The following is a 26,426-nucleotide window of genomic DNA, read 5'->3' on the forward strand; positions in this document are numbered from 1 at the left end:
TCTTTGCTGTTCTGCAGCCTCTGCTGGTGATACCCAGGCAAACAGGGTCTGGAGTGGACCCCCAGCAAACTCCAGCAGACCTGCAGCAAAGGGGCCTGACTGTTAGAAGGAAAACTAATAAACAAAAAGCAGTAGCATCAACATCAACAAAAAGGACGACCATGCAAAAACTTCATCCTAAGGTCACCAACAGCAAAGACCAAAGGTAGATAAATCCATGAAGATGAGGAAAATCCAGCATAAAAAGGGTGAAAATTCCAAAAATCAGAATACCTCTTATCTTCCAAAGGATTACAACTCCTTGCCAGGAATGGGAACAAAACTGGATGGAGAATGAGTTTGATGAATTGACAGAAGTAGGCTTCAGAAGGTGGGTAATAACAAAATCCTCCAAGCTAAACAAGCATGCTCTAACCCAATGCAAGGAAGCTAATAACCTTGATAAAAGGTTAGAGGAATTGCTAACTAGAATAACTAGTTTAGAGAAGAACATAAACGACCTGATGAAGCTGAAAAACACAGCCCAAGAATTTCATGAAGCATACACAAGTATCAATAGCTGAATTGATCAAGTGAAAGAAAGGATATCAGAGATTGAAGATCAACTTAATGAAATAAAGCATGAAGACAAGATTAGAGAAAGAAAGAATGAAAAGGAAGGAACAAAGCCTCCAAGAAATATGGGACTATGTGAAAAGACCAAACCTACATTTGATTGGTGTATCTGAAAGTGACAAGGAGAATAGAACCAAGTTGGAAAATACTCTTCAGGATATTATCCAGGAGAACTTCCCCAACTGAGCAAGACAGGCCAACATTCCAATTCAGGAAATACAGAAAACACCACAAAGATACTCCTTGAGAAGAGCAACCCCAAGACACATAATCGTCAGATTTACCAAGGTTGAAATGAAGGGAAAAATGTTAAGGGCAGCCAGAGAGAAAAATCGAGTTACCCACAAAGGGAAGCCCATCAAACTAACAGCATATCTCTCTGCAGAAACCCTGCAAGCCAGAAGAGAGTGGGGACCAATATTCAACATTCTTAAAGAAAAGAATTTTCAACCCAGAATTTCATATCCAGCCAAACTAAGCTTTATAAGTGAAGGAGAAATAAAGTCCTTTGCAGATAATCAAATGCTGAGGGATTTTGTCACCACCAGGCCTGACTTACAAGAGCTCCTGAAGGAAGCACTAAATATGGGAAGGAAAAACCAGTACAAGTCACTGCAAAAGCAAACCAAAATATAAAGACCATTGACAGTATGAAGAAACTACATCAACTAATCGGAAAATAACCAGCTAGCATTATAATGACAGGATCAAGTTCACACATAACAATATTAACCTTAAATGTAAATGGGCTAAATGCCCCAATTAAAAGACACAGACTGGCAAATTGGATAAAGACTCAAGACCTATTGGTGTGCTGTATTCAGGAGACCCATCTCATGTGCAAAGACACACATGGCTCAAAATAAAGGGATGGAGGAATATTTACCAAGCAAATGGAAAGAAAAAAAAAAGAAAAAAAAAGCAGGGATTGCAATCCTAGACTCTGGTAAAACAGACTTTATACCAACAAAGATCAAAAAAGAAAAAGAAGGGCATTACATAATGGTAAAGGGATCAATGCAACAAGAGGAGCTAACTAGCCTAAATATATATGCACCCAATACAGGAGCACCCAGATTCATAAAGCAAGTTCTTAGAGGCCTACAAAGAGACTTAGCCTCCCACACAGTACTAGTGGGAGACTTTAACATCCACCTGCCAATATTCAACTGATCAACGAGGCAGAAAATTAGCAAGAATATTCAGGACTGGAACTCAGCTCTAGACCAAGCAGACCTAATAGACATCTACAGAACTCACCACCCCAAATCAACAGAATATACATTCTTCTCAGCACCACATAGCACTTATTTTAAAATGGACCACATAATTGGAAGTAAAACACTTCTCAGAAAATGCAAAAGAATGGAAATCATAACAAACAGTCTCTCAGACCACAGTGCAATCAAATTAGAATTCAGGATTCAGAAACTCACTCAAAACCAAACTACTACATGGAAACTGAACAACCTGTTCCTGAATGACTACTGGGTAAATAACGAAATTAAGGCAGAAATAAATAAGTTCTTTGAAACCAATGAGAACAAAGACACAATGTACCAGAGTCTCTGGGACACAGCTAAAGCAGTGTTTAGAGGGAAATTTACAGCACAAGTGCCCACAGGAGAAAGCAGGAAAGATCTAAAATCAGCACCCTAACATCACAATTCAAAGAACTAGAGAAGTAAGAGCAAACAAATTCAAAAGCTAGCAGAAGACAAGAAATAACTAAGATCAGAGCAGAACTGAAGGAGATAGAGACACAAAAAACGCTTCAAAAAAATCAATGAATCCAGGAGCTGTTTTTGTTTTGAAAAGATTAACAAAATGGATAGCCAGAGTAATAAAGAAGAAAAGAGAAAAGAATCAAATAGACACAATAAAAAATGATAAAGGGGAGATCACCACTGGTCCCACAGAAATACAAACTACCATCGGAGAATACTATAAACACCTCTATGCAAATAAACTAGAAATTCTAGAAGAAATGGATAAATTCCTGGACACACACACCCTCCCAAGACTAAACCAGGAAGAAGTCAAATCCCTGAATAGACCAATAACAAGTTCTAAAATTGAGGCAGTAATTAATAGCCTACCAACCAAAAAAAAGACCAGGACCAGACAGATTCACAGCCGAATTCTATCAGAGGTACAAAGACAAGCTGGTGTCATTCCTTCTGAAACTATTCAAAACAATAGAAAAAGACGGACTCCTTCCTAACTCATTTTATGAGGCCAGCATCGTCCTGATATGAAAACCTGACAAAAAAAGAAAACTTCAGGCCAATGTTCCTGATGATCATCAATGTGAAAATCCTCAATAAAATACTGGCAAACTGAATCCAGCAGCACATCAAAAAGCTTATCCACCATGATCAAGTTGGCTTCATCCCTGGGATGCAAGGCTGGGTCAACATACACAAATCAATTAACGTAATCCATCACATAAACAGAGCCAATGACAAAAACCACATGATTATCTCAATAGATGCAGAAACGCCCTTCAATAAAATTCAACACCCCTTCATGCTAAAAACACTCAATAAACTAGGTATTTGTGGAACATATCTCAATATAATAAGAGCTATTTATGACAAACCCACTGATATCATACTGAATGGGCAATATCATACTGAATGGGCAAATGCTGGATGCATTCCCTTTGAAAACCGACACAAGACAAGGATGCCCTCTCTCACCACTCCTATTCAACATAGTATTGGAAGTTCTGGCCAGGGCAATTAAGCAAGAGAAAGAAATAAGGGGTGTTCAAATAGGAAGAGAGGAAGTCAAATTATCTGTTTGCAGATGACATGATTGTATATTTAGAAAACTCCATCGTCTCAGTCCAAAACTCCTTAAGCTGATAAGTGACTTCAGCAAAGTCTCAGGATACAAAATCAATATGCAAAAATCACAAGCATTCCTACACACCAATAACAGACAAACAGAGGGACAAATCATGAGCAAACTCCCATTCACAATTGCTACAAAGAGAATAAAATACCTAGGAATACAACTTACAAGGGATGCGAAGGACCTCTTCAAGGAGAACTACAAACCACTGCTCAAGGAAATAAGAGAGAACACAAACAAATAGAAAAACTTTCCATGTTCATGGATAGGAAGAATCGATATAGTGAAAATGATCATACTGCCCAAAGTAATTTATAGATTCAATGCTATTTCTGTCAAGCTTCCATTGAATGTCTTTACATAATTAGAAAAAACTACTTTAAATTTCATATGGAACCAAAAAGGAGCCGGTATAGCCAAGACAATTCTAAGCAAAAAGAACAAAGCTGGAGGCATCATGCTACCTGACTTCAAACTATACTGCAAGGCTACAGTAATCAAAATAGCATGGTGCTGGTACCAAAACAGAAATATAGACCAATGGAACAGAACAGAGACCTCAGAAATAACACCACACATCTACAACCATCTGATCTTTGACAAACCTGACAAAAACAAGCAATGGGGAAAGGATTCCCTAGTTAATGAGTGGTGTTGGGAAAACTGGCTAGCCATATGCAGAAAACTGAAACTGGACCTCTTCCTTACACCTTATACAAAAATTAACTCAAGAGGGATTAAAGATTTAAATGTAAAACCTAGAACCATAAAAACCCTAGAAGAAAACCTAGGCAATACCATTCAGGACATAAGCATGGGCAAAGACTTCAAGACTAAAACACCAAAAGCAATTGCAACAAAAGCCAAAATTGACAAATGAGATCTAATTAAACTAAAGAGCTTCTGCACAGCAAAAGAAACTGTCATCAGAGTGAACAGGCAACCTACAGAATGGGAGAAAATTTTTGCAATCTATCCATCTGTCAAAGGGCTAATATCCGGAATCTACAAGGAACTTAAACAAATTTACAAGAGAAAAAACAACCCCATCAAAAAGTGGGCGAAGGATATGGACAGACGCTTTTCAAAATAAGACATTTATTCGGCCAATGAACATATTTTAAAAAGCTCATCATCACTGGTCGTTAGAGAAATGCAAATTAAAACCATAATGAGATACCATCTCATGCCAGTTAGAATGGCAATCATTAAAAAGTCAGGAAACAATAGATGCAGGAGAGGCTGTGGAGAAATAGGAACACTTTTACCCTGTTGGTGGGAGTGTAAATTAGTTCAAGCATTGTGGAAGACAGTGGGGTGATTTCTCAAGGATCTAGAATTAGAAATACCATTTGACCCAGCAATCCCATTTCTGGGTATATACCCAAAGGATTATAAATCATTCTACTATAAAGACACATGCACACATATGTTTATGGCAGTACTGCTCACAATAGCAAAGACTTGGAACTAACCCAAATGCCCATCAATGTTAGATTGGATAAAGAAAATGTGGCACATATACACCATGGAATACTATGCAGCCATAAAAAAAGAATGAGTTCATGTCCTTTGCAGGGACATGGATGAAACTGGAAATCATCATTCTCAGCAAACTAACAGAGGAACAGAAAACAAACACCACATGTTCTCACTCATAAGTGGGAGTTGAACAATGAGAACATATGGGCACATGGAGGGGAACGTCACACACCAGGGCCTATCAGGGGTTGGCAGGCAAGGGGAGGGATAGCATTAGGAGAAATACCTAATGTGGATGACGGGTTGATGGGTGCAGCTAGCCACCATGGCACATATATACCTATGTAACAAACCTGCACGTTCTGCACATTGTATCTCAGAACCTAAAGTATAATAATTTAAAAAAAGGAAAAAAAAGCATAATTATTTTTATATTAACACTAGCATTTCATATCTTAAAGCAACTGATGTTTAGGAATTACTACACGTGGTGGCTCATGCCTGTAATCCCAGCACTTTGGGAGGCCGAGGCTGGTGGATCACATGAGGTCGGGAGTTCGAGACCAGCCTGACCAACATGGAGAAACCCCAGCTGTACTAAAAATACAAAATTAGCAAGGTGTGGTGACACATGCCTGTGATCCCTGCTACTCCAGAGGCTAAGGCAAGAGAATCGCATGAACCCAGGAGGCAGAGGTTGCACTGAGCCAAGATCGTGCTATTGCAGTCCAGCTTTGGCAACAAGAGCGAAATCTATCTCAAAAAAAAAAAAACAATTACTACGAGTGGTACCTTTTTTTGCATTAGTGTCTTTTATGTGGCATCATGAAAATTTCTGATGAATTAATTTCCCTAATTAACGTAATTCCATTATTCCTAGTGACTTTAACATAATTCCTAATGATACTTCCATAAACAACAGGACCATTGAATTTTTGAGATTTCTCTGTGGTTCTTTTTTTCCTCAGGATATTTTCCATTGAAATGTATGGTTGAAATTTGATCTTTGAAAATCTACTTGATGTATAATTAGGCTTATTTCTATCAGTTTGTTTTTTAAGAGTTGTTTTGATTTTTTCCTTTTTATTTAACCTTGGTTTTTAATAATCTAAAACTTGTACATGATTCCAAAATCAAAACTATGAAACAAGGTACATTTGGAGTATTCATTCCTGTCTGTTCTCTATACCCTTTTAACAAATGAATTTTAAAAATTAGTTTTTAGTGTATGTTTTAGTTTACTTATTTCTTTTTAAAAGCATAAGCAAACCCACACACATGCATATATAAGATAATAATATGAATATTTATACATATATCAATTCATAAATCTTTTCCCCTTTCTACACAAATGTAGTATACTAGATGCACTCTACTGGACCTTGTTTTCTCATGTAACAATACATTCTGAAGATCATTTTATTTCTTTTGATAGCTGCACAGTACCATATTATGTGGCTACATAATATTTTATTCATTAGGTTGCACACTGATAGACATAGGGGTTGTCATATCATGCTTTAAATAAATATTTCCCAAGTGGCTGATCAGGTAATCTGAATGTCTGTCCATTGGTGGTTATATGTCTCTTGGAGACTAATACCTAACAGAAATCAATTTTTTGTGTGAGTTGAATGTAAAATGATATTTATATCATTTTATAAACTAAAAAAATGTTTAGTTTTGGCACAACCTTGAGGAAAGCAGTGTGACAAGCCTGGTGCCAGATCCCATGGAGAACTAACCCTGGACAGCCTGGGAAAACTCCTATGTAAACATGGAGAACCCAGATCAAAGAGTGTTTGGAGAGTGATAACAATCACTTAGGACTTACCTTTTCTGAAAATCTTAAAAATTTTAAGATTGTGAATTTTTAAAATAGTGATTCATAAACTATTTAGGTGACTTGCTGTGGAGCCATTGGACCAGAGATTTTGTTCAAAATGAAAACAACATGCAGTTAATCATATTTGCAATGGGGCCATTGTTGTCTCTTTATAGGTTTAGTTTTAAGGCTGGCATTAAAGAGTTTTGCAAAATTATTTATTTATTTTTCTAATTCCTGGGCACTGCATCTGCCACCCTGAAAGAGGCCTTCAGGTAGGTGGTGGTGTATGCATTGGTCTCATGAACTCATGCAATATTTGCCATAGTTTTCTCTTGGGAACAAAGTGTGTTATTGGGAACAAAGAGTTCCATAATCAAATAAATTTGAAAAGAACTAAGTTTATTTATTGCAAGATTTCTTAGAGCTTTTAGTAACTAATATGCATATAACTTCTCAAGATAGGGATGTAAAATGCTGGTTTTCACAGACATTTTCCTTTATGGAGTCTATTTTTCATGGAGCATGTTTTGGGAAAGTTAGATTTAATGGTTAAGTTTCTTATAATTGTGAATGACTTAGTGAGTTAATTGGAGGGAGAGAGAGAATTAATTGAACAGAGTAGTTGTTATCATTTCTATGTTACAGGAGAGGAAACTGAGGCTTCAGTGTTAGTGACTTGCCTATCATGGATTGAAGACAGATTTCTAGATTGTAAATTGTTAACATCATCATATTTAAAGACTTAAAGGAAGAAAAAGTATGGAAAGGGTTTAGTAATTCTCTTAAAAATATCCAATTTATATAAGGAACTCAATTAACTAGAAAGAAAACAAATAACTTGATTAAAAATTGGGCAAAGGACCTGAATAGACCTTTCTCAAAAGAATACATACAAATGGCTGGCAGGCCATTTTAAACAGGGTATATGAAAAAACGCTCAACATTACTAATCATCAGGGAAATGCAAATTAAATTTAGAATGAGATATCACCACTCACCTATTAGAATGGCTAATATAGAAAATACCAAAGATTACAAATATTGGCAAGGGTGTGGAGAAAAGAGAACTCTTGCACACTGCTGGTGGGAATGTAAATTAGTGAAGTCATTATAGAAAATAGTATGGAGAGTTCTCAAAAAACTAAAAAAAGAACTACTATATGATCCAGCAATCCCACTATTGGGTGTATATCCAAAGGAAATTAGTATGTTGAAAAGATATAGCTGCACTCCCACGTTCATTACGCATTGTCGACAATTGGCAAGATATCAACCTAATTGTTCATCAGTGGATGAATGGATATAGAAAATATGGTATATATACACATGGAATACTATTTAGCCTTTAATAAAAAGGAAATCATGTCATTTGCAACGACATGGATGAACCTGGAGGCAATTATGCTTAGTGAGATCAACCAGACTCAGAAGGACAAGTACCACCTGCCCTCTCTCATATGCAGAATCTGAAAAAAGTCTCATGGAAGCAAAGACTAGAATGGTGGTGGCTAGGAGCTGGGGGAATGGAGGAATTGGGGAGATGCTGTTCAAAGGGCACAAAATTTAGTTAGGAGGAAAACGTTCAAGAGACCCATTGTACAACATATTGACTATAGTTAATAAAAACGTATTGTATACTTGAAAATCTCCAATAGAATAGATTTTAAGTATGCTTATGACAAAAAATGATAAATATATGAGGTAATGCAAATATTAGTTGGCTCAATTCAGCCATTTCACAATATGTTTGTATTTTGAAACATCATGTTGTACACCATAAATATATACAATTTTTGTCACTTGAAAAAATCCTAGAAAGGGGAAAAAAGAATATTAGTAGAAAACTGATATAATTCAAATAATATCTGTGGTTTACTTAATAGTGCTATACTTATGTTAATATCCTAGTTTTTGATAACTTTAGTATGGTTATGTAAAGTGTAAACATTAGGGAAAGCTGGGGAAAGGGTAATTTGGAACTTTGAATCTTTTTCTTTTCTTTTCTTTTTTCTTTTTGGAGAGATGGGGATCTTGTTCTGTCACCCAGGCTGGAGTACAGTGGTGCAAATCATAGCTCACTGCAGCTTCAAACTCCTGAGCTCAAGTGATTCTCCCAGCTCAGCCTCCTGAGTAGCTGGAACTACAGTTATGCACTACCATGCTTGGTTAATTTTTTATTTGTTCATTTATTGTAGAGATGGGGTCTTGCCATGTTGCCCAGTCTGGTCTTGAATCCCTGGCCTTAAGCAATCCTCCCATCTCAGCCTCCCAAAGTGTTGGGATTTCAGGCATGAGCTGCCATGTGCGGCCAGGAACTTTGAATCATTTTTACAGCTTTTCTGTAAATCAAAGACTTTCTCAAAATAAAAAGTTAAAAGTAAAAATTTATACCAACATATATGAAATGAATTAAATAAAAATGCACATATTACATCAATTGTTATTATGTAATGCAAAAAATTTCCTAGTCTTATTAGGATTTTTTTTTAAGACTAAAACATTTTCTAGGCCATTCAGCAGGAGTGGGATTGGGCTTGCCACTGGCCTTCCCCCTTGCTACGGATGTGGGCTTATGGATATATGTAAATACTGTACATCAGATGGTGATGCCTTTGCTCAGAGTCCCTGCAATCAGAACCCTGATAGGAGGATTTATCCTGCTTTCAACTTAGCAGAGAGAAAGAATTACTTTTACTCTTCAGACAGTTTATCTTTTCAGTCGTTCCTTTTCTCTGACATTTTTCCCCTTGACTAGAGTAAAAGTAGTTATCCTTAATGTGACATTGGAAGAGAGAGATCACGGTCATATTTTTTGTACACAAACCGTCTCTACATCACATCACATTGACCTTCTCCTATTCGGGGAGAAGGGTATTTATTGCCTGCTTTCTCACCAAGTTCTCTAGCTTTTGATGTTTAAAGTTGTTATTTCATGACATTTCATGAACTTATTTTCTATGAGGTTTCTAACATGACTTTGGCCCATTCGTACAAATGATTCCATCTTGGAGCTCCCCCTGCCAGTGCCACCACCCCCACTTTCTGTTTTTTACAGAAGATACATATGAAGTCTATTTAAAGAGAAGATATTACAAACAAATATACAGTACTATTCAAACATTCTGAAATTAGATATAGTTGGATTCAGATGAATTTATTAAATAAAAAGACAAATTCATGAGTGACATTTCTTAACTTGGTATATTCACAGCATATCAGTGGAGAAGTAAGGAGATTTACTTCATTATTCACAGCGTGATCATGATCTTCAGCAGGTGTTCAAGAACTCTCTGATGCTGAGACTAAAAGTAATTCATCTTCCTAAAGACTTTCTATCTTTGGGAGGGTGACATTTCCTGTCTGGCTTTTCTGATGATTCTTACAACTTAATTACTTTTGGCATGTCCAGTTGCTTGCTTTATTTACTACATTGTATAGGTCAAACACTTGAACCTCAGGTTTATGTTTGTTTTATCAAACTTAGAGAATATAATTATTCAGAGAGTAATTTTCAGATTAGCACAAACATACATTTTCTACTAGAGAGTATCTATTCTTAAAGCTCACTTGTGAGACATTATATTTTTCCTGTTGTGAGGATGAGATGGCATTCTCTTTGGGATCTAAATTGCTTCTGAGGCAGGCACTTTTGTGTATTGTTATCTCTATACCCCGAAGAACAACTGGAGTGCAGGAAAAGCAGGGTTTTAGACAAATGAAAGTGGGATATGCCGTCTGGGCTGATGGCTACGCTTGGCATCACCAAATGGGAGACTTAAGAGCCTTCTGCAGTCACGGCTGCAGTGGCTGATTATTCTTCCAGCCATGTCTCTTCCTTCCTTCTTCTCTTCTCTTCTCTCCTCTTCTCTCCTCTTCTCTCTTCTCTTTTTTTTTGAGACAGTCTCAAAAAAAGAGGCTGGAATGCAGTGGCGCAATCTTGGCTCACTACGACTTCTGTCTCCTGGATTCAAGTGATTCTCCTGCTTCAGTTTCCTGAGTAGCTGGGATTACAGGCATGCATCACCATGCCCAGCTAATTTTGTATTTTCAGTAGAGACGGGGTTTCACCATGTTGCCTAGGCTGATCTTGAATGCCTGACCTCAAATGATCCACCTGCCTCAGCCTCCCAAAGTGCTGGAATTACAGATGTGAACTACAGTGCCAGGCCTTTCTTTCTTTTTTTAAATTTTAAGTTCAGTCAGGGGTATATGTGCAGGTTTGTTACACAGGTAAAACCAAGTCATGGGGGTTTGCTGCACAGCTGTCATCACCCAGGTATTAAGCCTACTACACAGTAGTTATTTTTCCTGACTTTTTCCCTCCTCCCACCCTTCACCCTCCACCCTCCAGTAGGTCACAGTATATGTTGTTCCCCTATATGTGTCCATGAGTTGTCATCATTTAGCTCCCACTTATAAGTGAGAACATATGGTGTTTGATTTTCTGTTCCTGTGTTTGTTTGCTAAAGATAATGGCCTCCATCTCTGTCTTTCTTGCTTGCTTTTGTTGAGCAGGGGGTGGGTAACACTGCCCGGTGATTGTGTCACCTCACACTGTCACCCCAAAATTTCAGATTCCAGAATAACTAATAAATAAAAGTTTTTCCACAGTTGGGGAAAGGAAGATAAAAAAGTTTAGGAAGCAAAGAAGATGGTAATGGGGTTTTTACGAGCCTTCCCCTCTTTGAAGGCCAGCAGGGTAGTTGAATGTGTGTGTACAGAAGCCACATGCTAGCAATAGTATGATGATAATCATAGTAGTTATCATTTTCTGGCACTCACTATGTGCCTGAAGTGGTGTAAATGCTTTACATGTCATTAATGCTGTTAGTTTCTTTAACAGCTCTGTGAGGTGAATGTATTGTTATTCTGCTTTGCTAATGAGAAAACTGCAGCATAGAGAGCTTAGTGGAGCAATCTCACCAAGTTTACAGTTAGCACACTGCAGAGGCGGAATTCTCACTGACATGTTTTCTACTCCATTGTCTCTGATTTGACCCAGGAGGAATGGTGATGGTAGGCACCTGAGCTATTGAGTGTTGTAATATAGAAGGCAGACTTTCTGTGTTCGTAAGGCACAAGAGTCTGCTAAGGATTTCCTTTTTTGCTTCATTTTACATTTTATTCAAAGGTTCAAAATTGATAAGCTTAATTAAAATATCAGTTCCTTAATAAAGCGCTCTAAAACATATTTAAACAAAATGCCATACATCATGCCTTAGTTGCTTTACTAATATAATGTTAAATAAATATTTCCTGGCCAGGCATAGTGATTTACACCTGTAATCCCAGTGCTTTGTGAGGTGGAGACAGGAGGATCACCTGAGCATAGGAGCTCAACACCAGTCTGGGCAACATAGTGAGACCTTGTCTCTACAAAAAAAAAAAAAAAAATAGCCAATAGCTGGGTGCAAATACTTGTAGTCCTAGCTACCTGAGAGGCGTGAGGATTGCTTGAACCCAAGAGTTTGAGGCTATAGTGAGCTATGATCACAACACTGCACTCTAGCCTGGGCAACAGAGCAAGAGGCCCCGTGTCTTTATATATATATAATATATAATGTTTTCTAACTTTTGTGGTTACATAATTATAGAAATATTAGCAAAATTAAAGGAAGGGGTGAGATTTTATATTTATCAATTGTATGGATTGACCGTTCAGTATTGGTTGATTGATTGAGACAGGGTCTCCTTCTGCCACCCATGCTGGAATGCAGTGGTGTGATCAGAGCTCACTGCAGCCTTGACCTCCTGGGCTCAAGCAATTCTCTCATCTTAGCTTCCCCAGTGCTGAGGTTACAGGTATGAGCCACCGTGAATGGCCAGTGCTTTTTTTTTTTTTTTTTTTTAATCTCTCTTCTTACACATCACTTTTGTTTTTATATTATTGTTATTCATATATATGTCTTGTCACCCCCCTATTGAGTTGGATGCTCTTTGAATGTTTTTTATTTCATGGGTTCTCAATAAATATTTGTGCCACAAATGACTTAATATTACTTGTTACTATGAAATTTGTGCCTCTATATATGTTGGGTGACAATTAGAAAACTAATGATAATTATTGCATCAAAAATAATTTGAGAGCACAAATCTTATAGCATTGTCATGTAAGATGGGTACATATAGATTTTTGTTATTCTTCATTTGTTGGGCATGTAGAATAAATCCACAATAAATTCAATAGAAGTAAAGCTTATTTCTGCATGTATATCTAGATAAACATAAAATATTGATTCTCTGTTTTGGAAAAAAGGAAAAGATAATGACTAAAATTTCTTTGTGGTCTCTATGATGGTTTAATCACATGTCTCTCAAAAATCTAATTTTCTAAGAATCAATCTGTCTGTGTGCTAGCAGACTGTGAAAACCTACTGGTTTCTTTAAACATCAAAAGAAGTCAGCCTTTAAATATTTGGACGTTTTCCTCTGAGATACGGCTGCACTAGGCAAACACACTGACATTAACATTTCTAAAGCAGGCTCAAAATAAATGAGAATAATAAAAAAAAAACTCCTTCCAATACCTAATTGCCATTTTAATTAAAGCTTCTGTTTGTCATCAGTGACAAGAGATTGCCTCAGAAAGATAAAATAAGACTGTGTGTCTTTGGCTTTCATGAAGACAAAAGGTTTGTGCAAGAAGTCAAATACCCAGATAACTTTGCTGTTACTTTTTAAATTAAACAATTTGCTAAGCATCAGGTGAACCAAATTATTCATAAATTAACATTTTTTTTAGGCCAGTACATCTCAAATCTAGTTTATGGATGGATTTCCTGGTTTGGGTGCTTAATCTAGTGTGTGCTAGAATCTTATATCACAGGCTGTTTTATAGAGATAAAGGAATCTGGAAATGGAAATCACTTTCTTAAATGGCTTTTGATTTGAAATTTTATTTATTCAGGTTACCTTAAGGTTATAAGATCAAATAAGAACATACTACAAAGAGCTTTGTAAAAGATAAAATATTACTTGTTATCTTAATTATTATTATCTGGAAAACAAAGTTAAATGCATGTGTTTATTCCACCCCTCCCTCTGACCCAATTAATGCATCAGGAAATTGGGAATTTGCTTTGGTGCATCTGTTTAAATGCTAAGAACTGGGACTTGGATTTGCTGCTCAAGAATCCCTAGCCCAGCTTCCTAAACTTTATAAAGTCAAATAAAAATAGGGTCACCAGGTAACATGGAAAGAGCAGGCTTATCTTTCCTCTCAGCTTCTGAATGAAGTTGAAAATGTGTTTTATTGTAGAACAGGTAAAATGTGATTCTTATAAATGGGAACAAAAGAATAATTTTAATGATGAATTTGAACCTGGAATCTGAACAACAGATAAAATGCAATCAGAGAAGCACTGAGACTATGCAGTGCATTTGACACAGAAAATACCAAGAGCAGCATTAGCACTTTTCTGAGGCCTTATCTTAATTAAACTTGGCCAGATGAAGTTTCTTTGGTAAATGCAGGTTCTTCTCACAAAGCCTTTCATCCCTTATTGCAGGGAGAGCCACATTTTCCAAAGAATTGCCCCCTCACTGGAGGGAACCCAGACAGCAAACCCCAGAACTTACTGGCATCAAGAGTGCTCCATGTGAGGGTACCATGAAGACGGAGATTGGGAGATATTGGGTGTTCTCAAATGCGACAGATTTTACCAGTACCGTTTTCTCTTGGGATCAGTATAATGTAAACCTCTTGAGAACGGTATCTGAGTCTCTGTATTTCCTCACATGCCTACTATCCAAGAATTCAAAACACATATGTGGTTGAATGAGTACCCTTAAGCCCAAACTGCTGACTGTAACCCTTTATCCAACCTCATCTTGTTTACCTTTGTGTAACATTGGAAATCACCCATCCCCTTTTCTGTTGGAAACTTTCTTTAACTTTCCTGATTCTCCGTTTACGTGATTTATTGCTGCTGCCTCTTTCTTTCTCTGGGTTCCAGTCTCTACCCCCTCAAGCTGGCTATTTCCTAAGATTCTGTTTCCAGCCCTCTTCTTTATATTCTTTGGCTGACTGTGCATTAGAATTGCCTGGGAGGTAACCGCAGCCTGCCCTGTCCTGCCTCGTGTTTCTGTGTGTGTGTGTCTGTATGTGGTGCACACGTTTCTGTTTTTATTTTTTTATTTTAAAAAATTTGATTTTTATTAGCTTTTTCTTTTCTTATTATTATACTTTAAGTTCTAGGGTACGTGTGCACAACGTGCAGGTTTGTTACATATGTATACATGTACCATGTTGGTGTCCTGCACCCATTAACTCGTCATTTACGTTAGGTATATCTCCTAAAGCTATCCCTCCCCCTCCCCTCACCCCACAACAGGCCCCGGTGTGTGATGTCCCCCTTCCTGTGTCCAAGTGTTCTCATTGTTCAGTTCCCACCTATGAGTGAGAACATGCGATGTTTGGTTTTTTGTCTTTGCGATAGTTTGCTGAGAATGATGGTTTCCAACTTCATCTATGTCCCTACAAAGGACATGAACTCAGGGATCTAGAACTAGAAATACCATTTGACCCAGCCATCCCATTACTGGGTATATACCCAAAGGATTATAAATCATGCTGCTATAAAGACACTTGCACACGTATGTTTACTGCGGCACTATTCACAATAACAAAGACCTGGAACCAACCCAAATGTCCAACAATGATAGACTGGATGAAGGAAATGTGGCACATATACACCATGAAATACTATGCAGCCATAAAAAAAGTTTTTGTTTTTAATGTTTGCAAGTAAGTTACAGACTTCCTGTCCCCTTATACCTCAGTGTGCATTTTGAAAAACAAGGACATTCTCTTGTATTATTACCACAATACAATTATCAAAACCTAAAAATTAACATTAATAGACTTCATTCAGATTCTGCTGATTGTCTCATCAATGTCATCTCTAACAAAGGGCAAAAACCAATTTTTGTGGTCTAGGAAATCAATCCAGGATCACATGTTGTGTTGTGCTGTCATTTTTAAAGTCTCTTTTAACTTAGATCAGTTCTTCGGTATTTCGTTGTTTTTCATGACCTTGACATTTTTGAAGTGTACAGGCCAGTTATTTTGGGTTAATCTGATGTTGTTTAATGATTAGATTCAGATTATATGTTTTTGGCAAGAACACCACTGAAAGAATGTTGTGTCCTTTTTCATGTCTCGTCATGGTATCTATTTCTGCCCTTACTTGTGTTCACTTAATTAATGTGGTATCTGCCATATTTCTGCACTGTAAAATTACTCTTTGTCCCCTGTAATTAATAACTATCTTGTGGGAGACACACCAAGACTATGAAAATAAATATATCTATTAGTGTTAATGACGGTCAGTTTTCTCATTGTTGAAGAAGAAAGGAATTATAGATATGAAAAGGTAGAATGCTAGAGTGAACCCATGTGCTGTTGGATTAAGATTAGCAATAACTGTATGAATTCGTGGTTTTTATAGCTATGTAGATCAATCTAATTGCCTAGCTGTATCCTCTGACAGGATAAAGAAGCAATGATAATTCAGTAGCAATTAGCATAAGTAGTACCATTATCTTGGTTTCTAAATACTATTCACCAACAAAAATCAACCAAGTCTTCTTCCTTGCTGGGGCAGGAAAAGAACAAGATAAGCCTGGAACAGGTGTTGTTTTTTGTTTTTGTTTGTTTGTTTGTTTTTGGTTTTTTTCCATTTGAAAGTAAGAGAGTGAGCAAAGAATGATGGGGACATGTCAAAAGGACACACGAGCCAGCTCCAAGGGGCTCCTACTAGCCAAATACAGGACAATGTGACCATAAAAATAAATGGTAGTAACAGATGGAATAAGAATCCATGAGTCCATACTGATAAGAACAAATAGATGAGCAACTATGTAAAATGGAAAGTTAGTTATTCATTACAATAGAATTCCAACAAATAAATGTGTGTGGTATGGCTGGATGCGGTGGCTCACGCCTGTAATCCCAGCACTTTGGGAGGCCAAGGCGGGCAGATCACCTGAGGTCAGGAGTTTGAGACCAGCCTGGCCAACATGGCGAAACCCCATCTCTACTAAAAATACAAAAAAATTAGCCGGGCATGGGGTGTGCACCTGTAGTCCCAGCTACTCAGGAGGCAGAGGCAAGGAGAATCCCTTGAACCCAGTAGGTAGAGGTTGCAGTGAGCCAAGATTGTGCCACTGTACTCCAGCCTGGGCAACAGAGCCAGACTCTGTCTCAAAAATAAAAAATGTATGTAGTATGATTGATTGAAAATCATCATTTGTTAACTACCATAGTAATGGTTGTTTGAGGCAAGAATCATCAATGAATTCTCTTTTTTAATAACATAGATTTGTTCTTTCTGACTCCTCCCTATCCATTCAGTGCACAGCTTTTAGCACACAATTGCCTTGGTCAAATCTGTTCTTAAGCTGGGCTTCCCCTTCCCATTGTACCATGTGTGTGAATATCTAAGACCACAAAATATGCTGCTTTTCCACTACTGAAGTAATATCTTACCTCATCTCTGTTTAGATTCTTCACACATTCCAAGGAAACACTTAGCTAATTTTCTATTAGTTTGAATTAAGTTGAGATGCTAGAGAAGTTTGCTAGAATCATTTTTCATTGCCAGCTAACATAAGTGCATTTTCAAACATGCTATTGATAAAATCTGGATAAGTTAGAGGGAACTATCTGCTTGGGAAGCAGATAAATGAGAGTCTATTGGGGGCAAATGAGACTTTTGGGGTTCCTTCTATATCATAGAATGGATGGACATATAATTTCATCTTCTGCCTTGAAGACAGGTGTTGAGAATTGACCTAAGCTGATTTGGTCATTCATAGCCCTTAGTGGTTTTTTCCTCCATGGTTCATACATCAAAAGAGGTTTGAGCTGAGTCAGTGTTAGGCACTACACAAAACTTTGCTACTAGTCCATAATGAAAGCAAGCCAGACAAAATTCTGCTACACACAGAGACCATTGATTACATAAATACTTAACAGCAAGCAAAGTAAAAAACATTTTTTTACAGCTCGTTATACAACTTGTTAGGAAGTCCCAGTTCTGCTACCTTGCATAAAGGTTCTTCCAAGGCAGACAGGGCAACATCCCAGAGGCTGGATCCTGTTACCCTTATCAATCCAGTGGGCAATGCCAAATCTTCTTAAATCAACAGGTGGACACTGGGCCATTTAGGAAAAAACCTCAGGTTTGTCTCTGGGGGAGAGGCTCTCTGGATCCTTATCCTCCATTACACTAGAGTGGAGAATATCTCTAAAATATTTTTGCTACTCCACATACTCTTGATTGTCTTTAATTTTACTCGAGAGAGTCCATTTCTAAATTCTTCATATTAATAAGCCACTAGTTTTACCAATTAAAATCCATTGCTAGCATACATTATACTGATTATTAAAGTCTTAGGTGTTAATAAAAATCAGGATAATAGAAGTACTTATAGTGATTGCTTCTGGAGTATTGCCTTTCTGATAAAATACTGGATAAATGTACAGTCTTGATGAAATACACTGGGAGAACATTACATACTATAGTGCCATCTTGGAAATTAAAAATGCATGTTAGCTATTTAGAGGTTAATGTCCTGCAATAAAGGAAAGCTGCTTAGTTTTGTTCGACCTTGCATTTCCCAAACTTAGTTGACCCCAAGTCCTTTTTTCCATCGCACTCTTGAAATTAGTTATTCCTGGGAAAGGCTTTAGAAAACATTGCTTTAGAGATTATAGGAGAAGCTTCCTTCAACATCCACTTAACTGACACTCAGCATTCTCTTTATAAAATTCGAGGATAATAGGCACCTATCTTAAATACTCTCTATCAAGTTGAGTTCTGTGCTTACAAAGAGTCAATTGAGATTTTTTCCAAAACGGTTTTATTCTATTTGTACTTGTAATTACAGTTACATAACTTAATTAAATATTACATAATCCCGTGACTTTTGAGTGTAAATATAAAGAGTTATTGTTTCTTTGAAAAATAAACTGAAAGTTTTGGAAAGACTCTAGAAAAGAATTGCTGAAAGTGTTATTAAATAAGGTGAGGGTAAGACAACTATGAAAGATTTGGGAAAAATATAAAAAAGAATTTCTAATACAACTTACTTTGTAAGTATCTTTTAAGTTATTGATGCATTTTCAAGAAACTGAAATGTATCATTTTTCAAGAAAGAGTTCAAGCAGAGAACTTGAATTAGTGGAGCCATACTCAAAAGCCTTACATTTAAATAAAACATGTGAGGTATATGTATGCCAATTTTTATTATTTTCTGCTTTTACTGAATTTTTTGATTAAGTGACTAAGCATAAACCTTGTAAGAGTCAGAAAAGGGCTTTTGTTCTAGAGAGAGAGAGAATTAAAGAGAAGACTTCACAAAGCAAAGTGTGTACACACACACACACATACCCCTTGTGGCATGTTTTAAAATATTCCACATAGATTTTGCCCATATTTCCTCAAGCCAGGCTCAGTTGTCTTCAGAACCCTTTGGCATTCTTGACACACTGCTTTTGTGTTTTTTCAACTTTATTGTAAGTCTGTGGGATTGCTTAATACCTTGTTAAAGAAAATTAGAGTTAAAAATCTAATTTCTCCCTGGGAGTGGTCCATATATATATACATAGTTCATGGCTGGGAACAAAGTTTACTACTAGTGTATTTTTTCAGTGTTATTTTGTAGTAAAAGTTCTTAAAATATTGTGTAATAAATAATATTTGATTTCTATCTATGTTCTCTTAGGCTTGGTCCCATGGCAGCCTATAATTCAAGGTTAAGGTTATGTTGTTATTTAAGAATTTTTAGCATCTGTACTTGTATGTGCTGCATAAACAAAACAGTTATTCTATTGCAGACCAGTTTTTCCTTTTGAAATGTAGAATACAACAATCACTTCTCAGGTTTAATTAAGACTGTGTTTGTACAGAGGTCTGTAGTTTATAAAAGCAGTTAAGCAAAGAAATGCTTTTGTTATATACAAACAGAACAAAAAGGGAAAATACTGTCTTGATCCTTTCATTAAAGGTCAAAAAAAAAAAAAAAAGAAAAAAAGAGTTCACTCAATTTTTTATCTCGTGTTTTTTCACAAATACCAGAAACAGAGCTGTAAGATAGTAATTTGTTAAACTACACATTAAGCTGGTATTTGAATATGAAAAGGTATTTCCACCCCGTGCAATATTGCTTTTTTGAAATACTAAAAGCCCTTACATTAGGGTGGTAATTGAATGACTGCTTAAAAACAAACCCTGTCTGCTTCATTTTGACAGGTTCTTTATACATTTTTGTGGAGGGTAAACATGTCAGGATGTAGCAGACTAAGGAAGGAGCTGGTATTGAACAGGGTTCATAGTCAAAGTGACATAGTTTCTCATTCTCAAGAAGAGTAGTTGGCATGGTTGTTTTGGGACCTGCAATATAGTTTTTCTAGATTCAACATGGAAAACATTATTCTAAACTCTAGTGATCTATCTGCCCATAGCTTATGCCAAGCAGCATGGATTATACATTTTTGATACCTGTAGACGTTTTAGGAGCCTTCTTGATGTTATGTTGAAATCTTATTCCTGTAGTTATCCACATAATTTTCTACCAAATCACCCTGTAGAACTGATGCATAATTACTTCTTAGGATTTGTTTGTTACTGTAATAATGAAATATTTTCCTGTCTCTTGGTATACCCATGTGTATACTGTGTTTTTTATTTTGTAAGTCCCATGAAGGAGAAAGGACTTCTATTTTTGTTTTATTGGAGTTGAACACTTCTTGAGCCTCCTTCTTGGAGATTCTCAGGTTTCTGATCATTCTTGTTATAGTTAACTGATTATTTTTGTTTCCTTAGATCAATTTAGAGGGTCACAATATAGCACTTTCAGAAAATTTGTCAGAGCTTTTATTACATTAGGAAGAGTAGCCATTTAAGTGTGCAAACACATCACTCATTGACTGGCTCACTGAACATCTATGAGTCAGGTAGCTGCTGAGAACTAGAGATGTTAAGCTAGATGAGATAGTTCTCTGCAAGATTGGTCAATATTCCTTTTTCAGCTGCTATGTTCTAGAAAATGTATGGTACCATATGAAAAGATAATTGAAATGGAGAACATGTTATTTGCTAGAATGGGGCAAACATATGTCTTAACCTACATGAAAAATATGGGAGTGACATTGAGATTGGAGTTAGGGAGAGGGAATAGATCAGATTTGGACATTTTGTCCGAAGTAGGGCAATAAATTATGTCTTAAATACGACTTGATACCAAATCCAAAAGTAGAATGGTTGCAACAATATTTCTTCTAGTTATACTTCTTTTTCTGAATCTTACTTTGTTATGGAAATCATAGAGCATGCTGATATTCTCAGCATAGACGAGGAGTTGAGGAGGGTAAGGGAAAATATAGGCAAACAGGACAAGATTTTCATCCCGTGGACATTAGTGCATTTGAAAAACTGGCTCTTGGGCTTCATGTTTTGGACAGTCAGGACAGAGGTCTCACAGGGGTTATTTGCAGGTTTTGCTTTTTTTGAGGTTGCAGCCATCCTAGGACTATCATGACTGTCATGTGGTGTTGAGAGAAAGGAAGATAGAAAAAAGATGCTTTTTGAAAAGCTTTTCCCCAAGACCTATCATTGGGTCTTCTTTCTCCTGGTGGAGATAGGGGAGGAGAGGCAGAGAGGAACCCAGCTGTCAGCAATGGTGCAGTGGGTCCAAACTGCTTCTCCTTGGTGGGTGGAATTTCCGTTCTAGAGGAGGATCTGAGGAGGCTTATGAGCTTCCCTGGGAATTGCTTTCTTCTTCCAGCTTCTGAAAGGTTCTCTTCATTTGGCCCCAGGAGGAATGAGGAACACACTACAAAGCTTTCCATTCTACAGGCTCTGTGAGCTGAGTGGTGAAGTTGCACATTTTCTAATTGGAGAAAACATGGTCCCATACATTTTAGGTTGGCTAAGAAGAAATGCCTGAGATTCATGGATTGAAGTGTGCCTTCAATTGGTCTTCTGCTAGAGTTTCATGTAGAAACTGATAGATGAAACAATACATTTACCCAAATATGTGAACCAAAGGACTATGTGAATAGAGAGGGACTGATTGTGTCTACTCAGTAAATAGGCCAAAGAAAGGGCAACAAGCGAATCACAAGGACTGTTTAAAGCCCTGGCCAATGGGGGGTTGGGGGAATTGTGTCTTTTGCATAAGTTGCTCCCAGTTTGAAATCTTCTTAGTACACTCCCAAAGCTGCTCTGTGGCTGCCAGCAGTGTTAGCCTGAGATCTCTTAATCCTCATATAGATCAGCATCTCTCTAAAATAAATCACTTGACTGTTTTCTGCCTAACATTGCAGGAATGGCTTGGGAGACTAACCCTTCGGTTTGAAATGTCTGAAAACTGCTTCTCTGTTTTACAATCTTGAATTTTACTTAGCTCTGCTGCTCTTTTTAGCTTTCTCAGAAGTGGATTATATTTTGCTACCTTTGCCACTGAAGTACAAATATAATCGTTGTTATTTTCTTGTCTCACAGAGTATATTTTGACCGAAATAAGTAGACAATGTTCTGTTTTCTAAGTTCCAACCACAGTGTTTTTTTTGTTTGTTTGTTTTACACTCAGTAATCCACATATTGTTATTTCTAGGTAATTATAGAATTTTTCAGTCAGTAATTTACTAAGCACATGTCATGTTTTCAGCACTGTGTAAGGAACTGAGGCATACAAATGAAATCTGAGGCATGGTTCAAGTCTTCATGTAGGTTACAGTGTTTGTGGAGAAATAAAACCAAATCAGAGGAAACAAAGAACAATTAAATGTTCAACTGTGTAGTACTCATGATAGGAATCTCCTGGAAGTAAATACTGAATATGGATAAATTAATGAATGAAGTGTTCATTCAAGGAAGAAATCATTGTGGACTAGAATGTGTCATTGAATAGGTCGGATACGAACATAGCCATGAAACATAAATAGGACTGGTAAGTGGAGGAGAGAATATTCTAGGTGAAGAGAGCAAAGGTAACAAGGTTGATGATGGAGTTGAGCATGGCATGTGTTTTGGACAATAAGAGGAGACCAGGTGACAAAAATCGGTATGCAAGAGAAACAAAAAAATAAAGTTGGGTATCCCCCCTTCCTTGATAAGTGAACCTCAATTTTGTGCCTATCTGCAAGTGATGAATCATGATTGGTCTAACCCATTCATGATGATTCTATCCTCCGCCTTTCCAGTCTCCTTTGGAGCTAGGGCAGCTCTGTGATCGTGTTCTGGCTTCAAGCTGAAGTCTGCTGATGGCATTTCTGGAAATGTTTTTGTTCTTTGATAAAATGTTGGCACCTCCTTTTCCTCTCCTCCTTGCCTTGAATGAAGATGCAAGGTCTGTAAATATACAGCAACCTTGCTGTTATGAGGAAAAGGCAAAGAGTTATTGTTTCTGATACTGCTGAACTGCTAAACCCACACCAACAGCTGTCTACCTCTGGACTTCCTGTTATGTGAGAGAAACCAACCTCTGTTTATGTAAAACAGTATAAATTATGGTTTTAGTTGTTTGCAATGTTTTAACATTATTTTAGAAAGGTTAATCTGCAATAGCACACCAGCTGAACCGGAAGGTGATGAGAATTGAGGTGGTGGTTTTAGCAATATGGGTCTTAAGTGAAGAAGTTCTGGGCAAGACTTGTGGCCAGGGGAATAGGAAGGAAGGCAGACATCTCAGAGAAGAAGCAAAAGTATTCAGTGCAGATTCAGTGAAGGATAGAAGAAGCCAGATAACCTCAAAGTTTCTAATCAGGAAGATAAGTGGGCCTGCATTACAGCTTTGGGGATAGGCAGATAATGGTAAAGACGAGTTCTGTCTTAAGGTATGTTGAGTTTGAGATTATGATGATGGAACATCCAAGTGGAAATATTACGTGCATAGTCAGAAATACAACATTTGATTTGAGGCGAATCTATACAATGCCTATGACCTTGGGCATGGAGAAACAGAAAAGCAATAAATGATGCCACCAGTTATTTGAGAGGAAGAAAAGAGGTCATTTGCATAAACAGACAGAGAAAGGAGATAATACGGGGTTGGTACAGGGATGAATATGTCATCATCAGTATCCAATGATCTAGAGAGATCAAGAAAGGTGAGGAATGAGGAGAGAATTTGGTAAATCTGACAAAAAGTGAATCTGGTAAAAATAGGACACCAATGATTTCCAAGAGAGGATATATTGGCTGCCCAGATCTGAGCAGTTAAGTGGGAAGGGAAGGGAGTCCAAGATGAAAGTGGTAGTGACAGATCATTCATTGAAGGAGCTGGGAATTGAGAAAGGCTGATTCTTGCAAGGGTGGTAGACCTAGTAAAAGATGGTTTTAAAAACAGTGAAAACTGGGAGGAAAGAATTTCATGGAAAGGCCCAACATTTAAATGGAAAGAAAGGTATAAACACACAGAGAAAGTTAAAGAAATGTGTAATGTTGGAGAAAGACTTTAGTTTCAGGACAGTTCAGATATTCCTCTGAAATTGGAGGCAGGGATGACAAGGAGGCTCTGGAATCTAATGAGTGGAAGCAAATATACTTGTAAACAGCTGTCTCTACTGGGTAGGTGAAGTCCTGTGTTAGGAGCTGGTCTAGTGGTAGGGAGAAGTGAAAGGGGAGCTAGCCACTTCATGCAGTTACAAAATCATGCAGCCTTGCCATCAACGTGGCAAGGATTGTCAAGGGCAAGGCTGCGTAATTTTGTGTCTTTCTCAGGCAGGACCATAGCGGAGAACCAGAAGCTGAAGAGGAGACCCAGAATCAGGTGGAGGTTCATAGGGAGTTGTGAAGGTGAGAGAATCTAGAACAATGCTCCTGGAGAGGGAGGAGAAATCTAGTGTTCTCAGGAAGAGGTTAAAGTCCAAGTGCAGATTGTCCAGAGAACAGGTTTGGTTGGGGGAGGTGGCAGAGAAGGGGATGGTGGCTTGAGCAGAGTAAGTCCAAATCTCAGACAGAGCTTGAAATGGTGAGATCCAAAAATTGCTTCTGAGTACCTGGACACAGCAGCTTGTTACAAGTAGAGATTTAATTCTTGTTCTTTTTTTTTTTTTTTTTTAAATGAGAGGCTAATTTGTCACACATTTCTTTTACTTTCTCTGTGTATTTGTACCTTTCTTTCCACTTAAGTGTTGGTCCTTTCCACAAAGTTCTTTCCTCCCAGTTTTCACTCTTTTTAAAACTATCTTTTACTAAGTCTACCACCCTTGCAAAATTACACAACATATTTTCAGTATATTCTAGTGCATTATTTACTTATAAATAAAATTGAGGCCAAGTATAAATAAGGTACAAATGTACTGAGTTTTATCTCACTTTGGTGAGACTTCTTAAATACGAAATAAAAAGCCATCCATGTTCCAATTCTGGCAATATATTCCCCTTCCACACATTCAACTACCCTCTTGCTGAACTCAACCTTGGGTTTCTACAGTGTTACTGAAACCTGCCATCCATTCACAGTGGCTTCTCCTAGTGATTTCCATGGAGCACAATTTTTTAAATGTCCTTAAAAAAGCATGCTACTTTAATTATATGGCAGATGGTGTGTTGCATGGTTTCCTAACTGGTGTTACTTCCACACTGTACTTGAACTATATAAAGAACTTTGCTCTCAACTCAGGAGGAATCCTGCGAAGCTCAAGTTTGTATTAACTTAGAGAGGAACAATTTCTGTAGGTTGGGACAAATTTTAATGTATATGTTATAGTACTAATTTTATTATGTAAAAACTACACATAAACCAAAACCATAGGGGTTTCAAATAATCATTGCAAATTATGATTAATTTAGTAAGACTTTAAACTGTTGTTTTCTTCTGATTTTTAAAAGTGAGTCATTATCATGTAGAAATTTTGAAAAATGGAGAAAAATAGAAAGAAAATAAAAATTGCTCTTAATCTCAACTTCCTGGAGATAGTCACTCTTCACCTATTTTTGGGTGAGGGGAGGGGCACTTTATTTTTTAAACTGAATCATATTAAACAACCTTTGTTTCCTACCTCAATAGGTCAATTGACTTTTAATTCTGGTTTCATTTTCTGAAAACTCTGTAAGGTCAGCAAGCAAAGGTGTTAGAAGTAGGTAGCATATAACATAGGAATTAGCAGATAGCTTATTTCTGTGGGAAATAGAAAGGCTGACTAATCTGTGACATCCAGTAACTTTTTACTGAGAAAAATGTGGTTGCAATGAGTAAAGTCTCCCATGTCACTATTCTGTAGAAGATAAACAATGTTTTAGCTTTATTATGATTTATACCGTATTCTTTTCAGGATTAACTCTAAGCGTAGAACATTTTAGTTTTATACCTTGATTAGAATCATTTATTTATATCCCAAAACATAGAAATTAATTTGGGGTGATAAGTCCTTTTGTTGTCAAGTTATTTTTCTCTTAACATTTGTATATAGTTTTTTGTATTATGTTTCCTAATGGAACTCACATGTCCATTAGAGTCAACTGATTATTCAAGACAGATTTGCTTTAATCTCCCAGTGTTTATTCAGTTTCATTTAATATTGTACTTTTATGAGGGTTATGAATCATAGGAATGTAGATAATATGAAACATATTGCATTATTTTAGATGGAAAGTTAGACTTTGTAATTTAGATAGGTTGTCCTCATTTT

The 26,426-nt window shown here is 37.0% G+C and overlaps 1 protein-coding gene across 3 annotated transcripts in view, besides 1 other annotated feature; it reads left to right on the top strand.

Annotated features, from left to right (window-relative positions):
• Positions 1 to 26,426, top strand: part of PLCL1 (phospholipase C like 1 (inactive)) — a 345,271-nt gene that overhangs the window by 214,454 nt on the left and 104,391 nt on the right. The window lies entirely within an intron of this gene.
• Positions 23,108 to 23,197: a silencer, noted in NCBI's record as "silent region_12218". NCBI's record gives its function as "represses an Ori minimal core promoter by ATAC-STARR-seq in GM12878 lymphoblastoid cells {active_cell/tissue: GM12878}" and the evidence as "EXISTENCE:reporter gene assay evidence [ECO:0000049][PMID:35858748]".

The sequence above is a fragment of the Homo sapiens genome, chromosome 2 (genome assembly GCF_000001405.40).
Source record: "Homo sapiens chromosome 2, GRCh38.p14 Primary Assembly".
Taxonomy (NCBI): domain Eukaryota; kingdom Metazoa; phylum Chordata; class Mammalia; order Primates; family Hominidae; genus Homo; species Homo sapiens.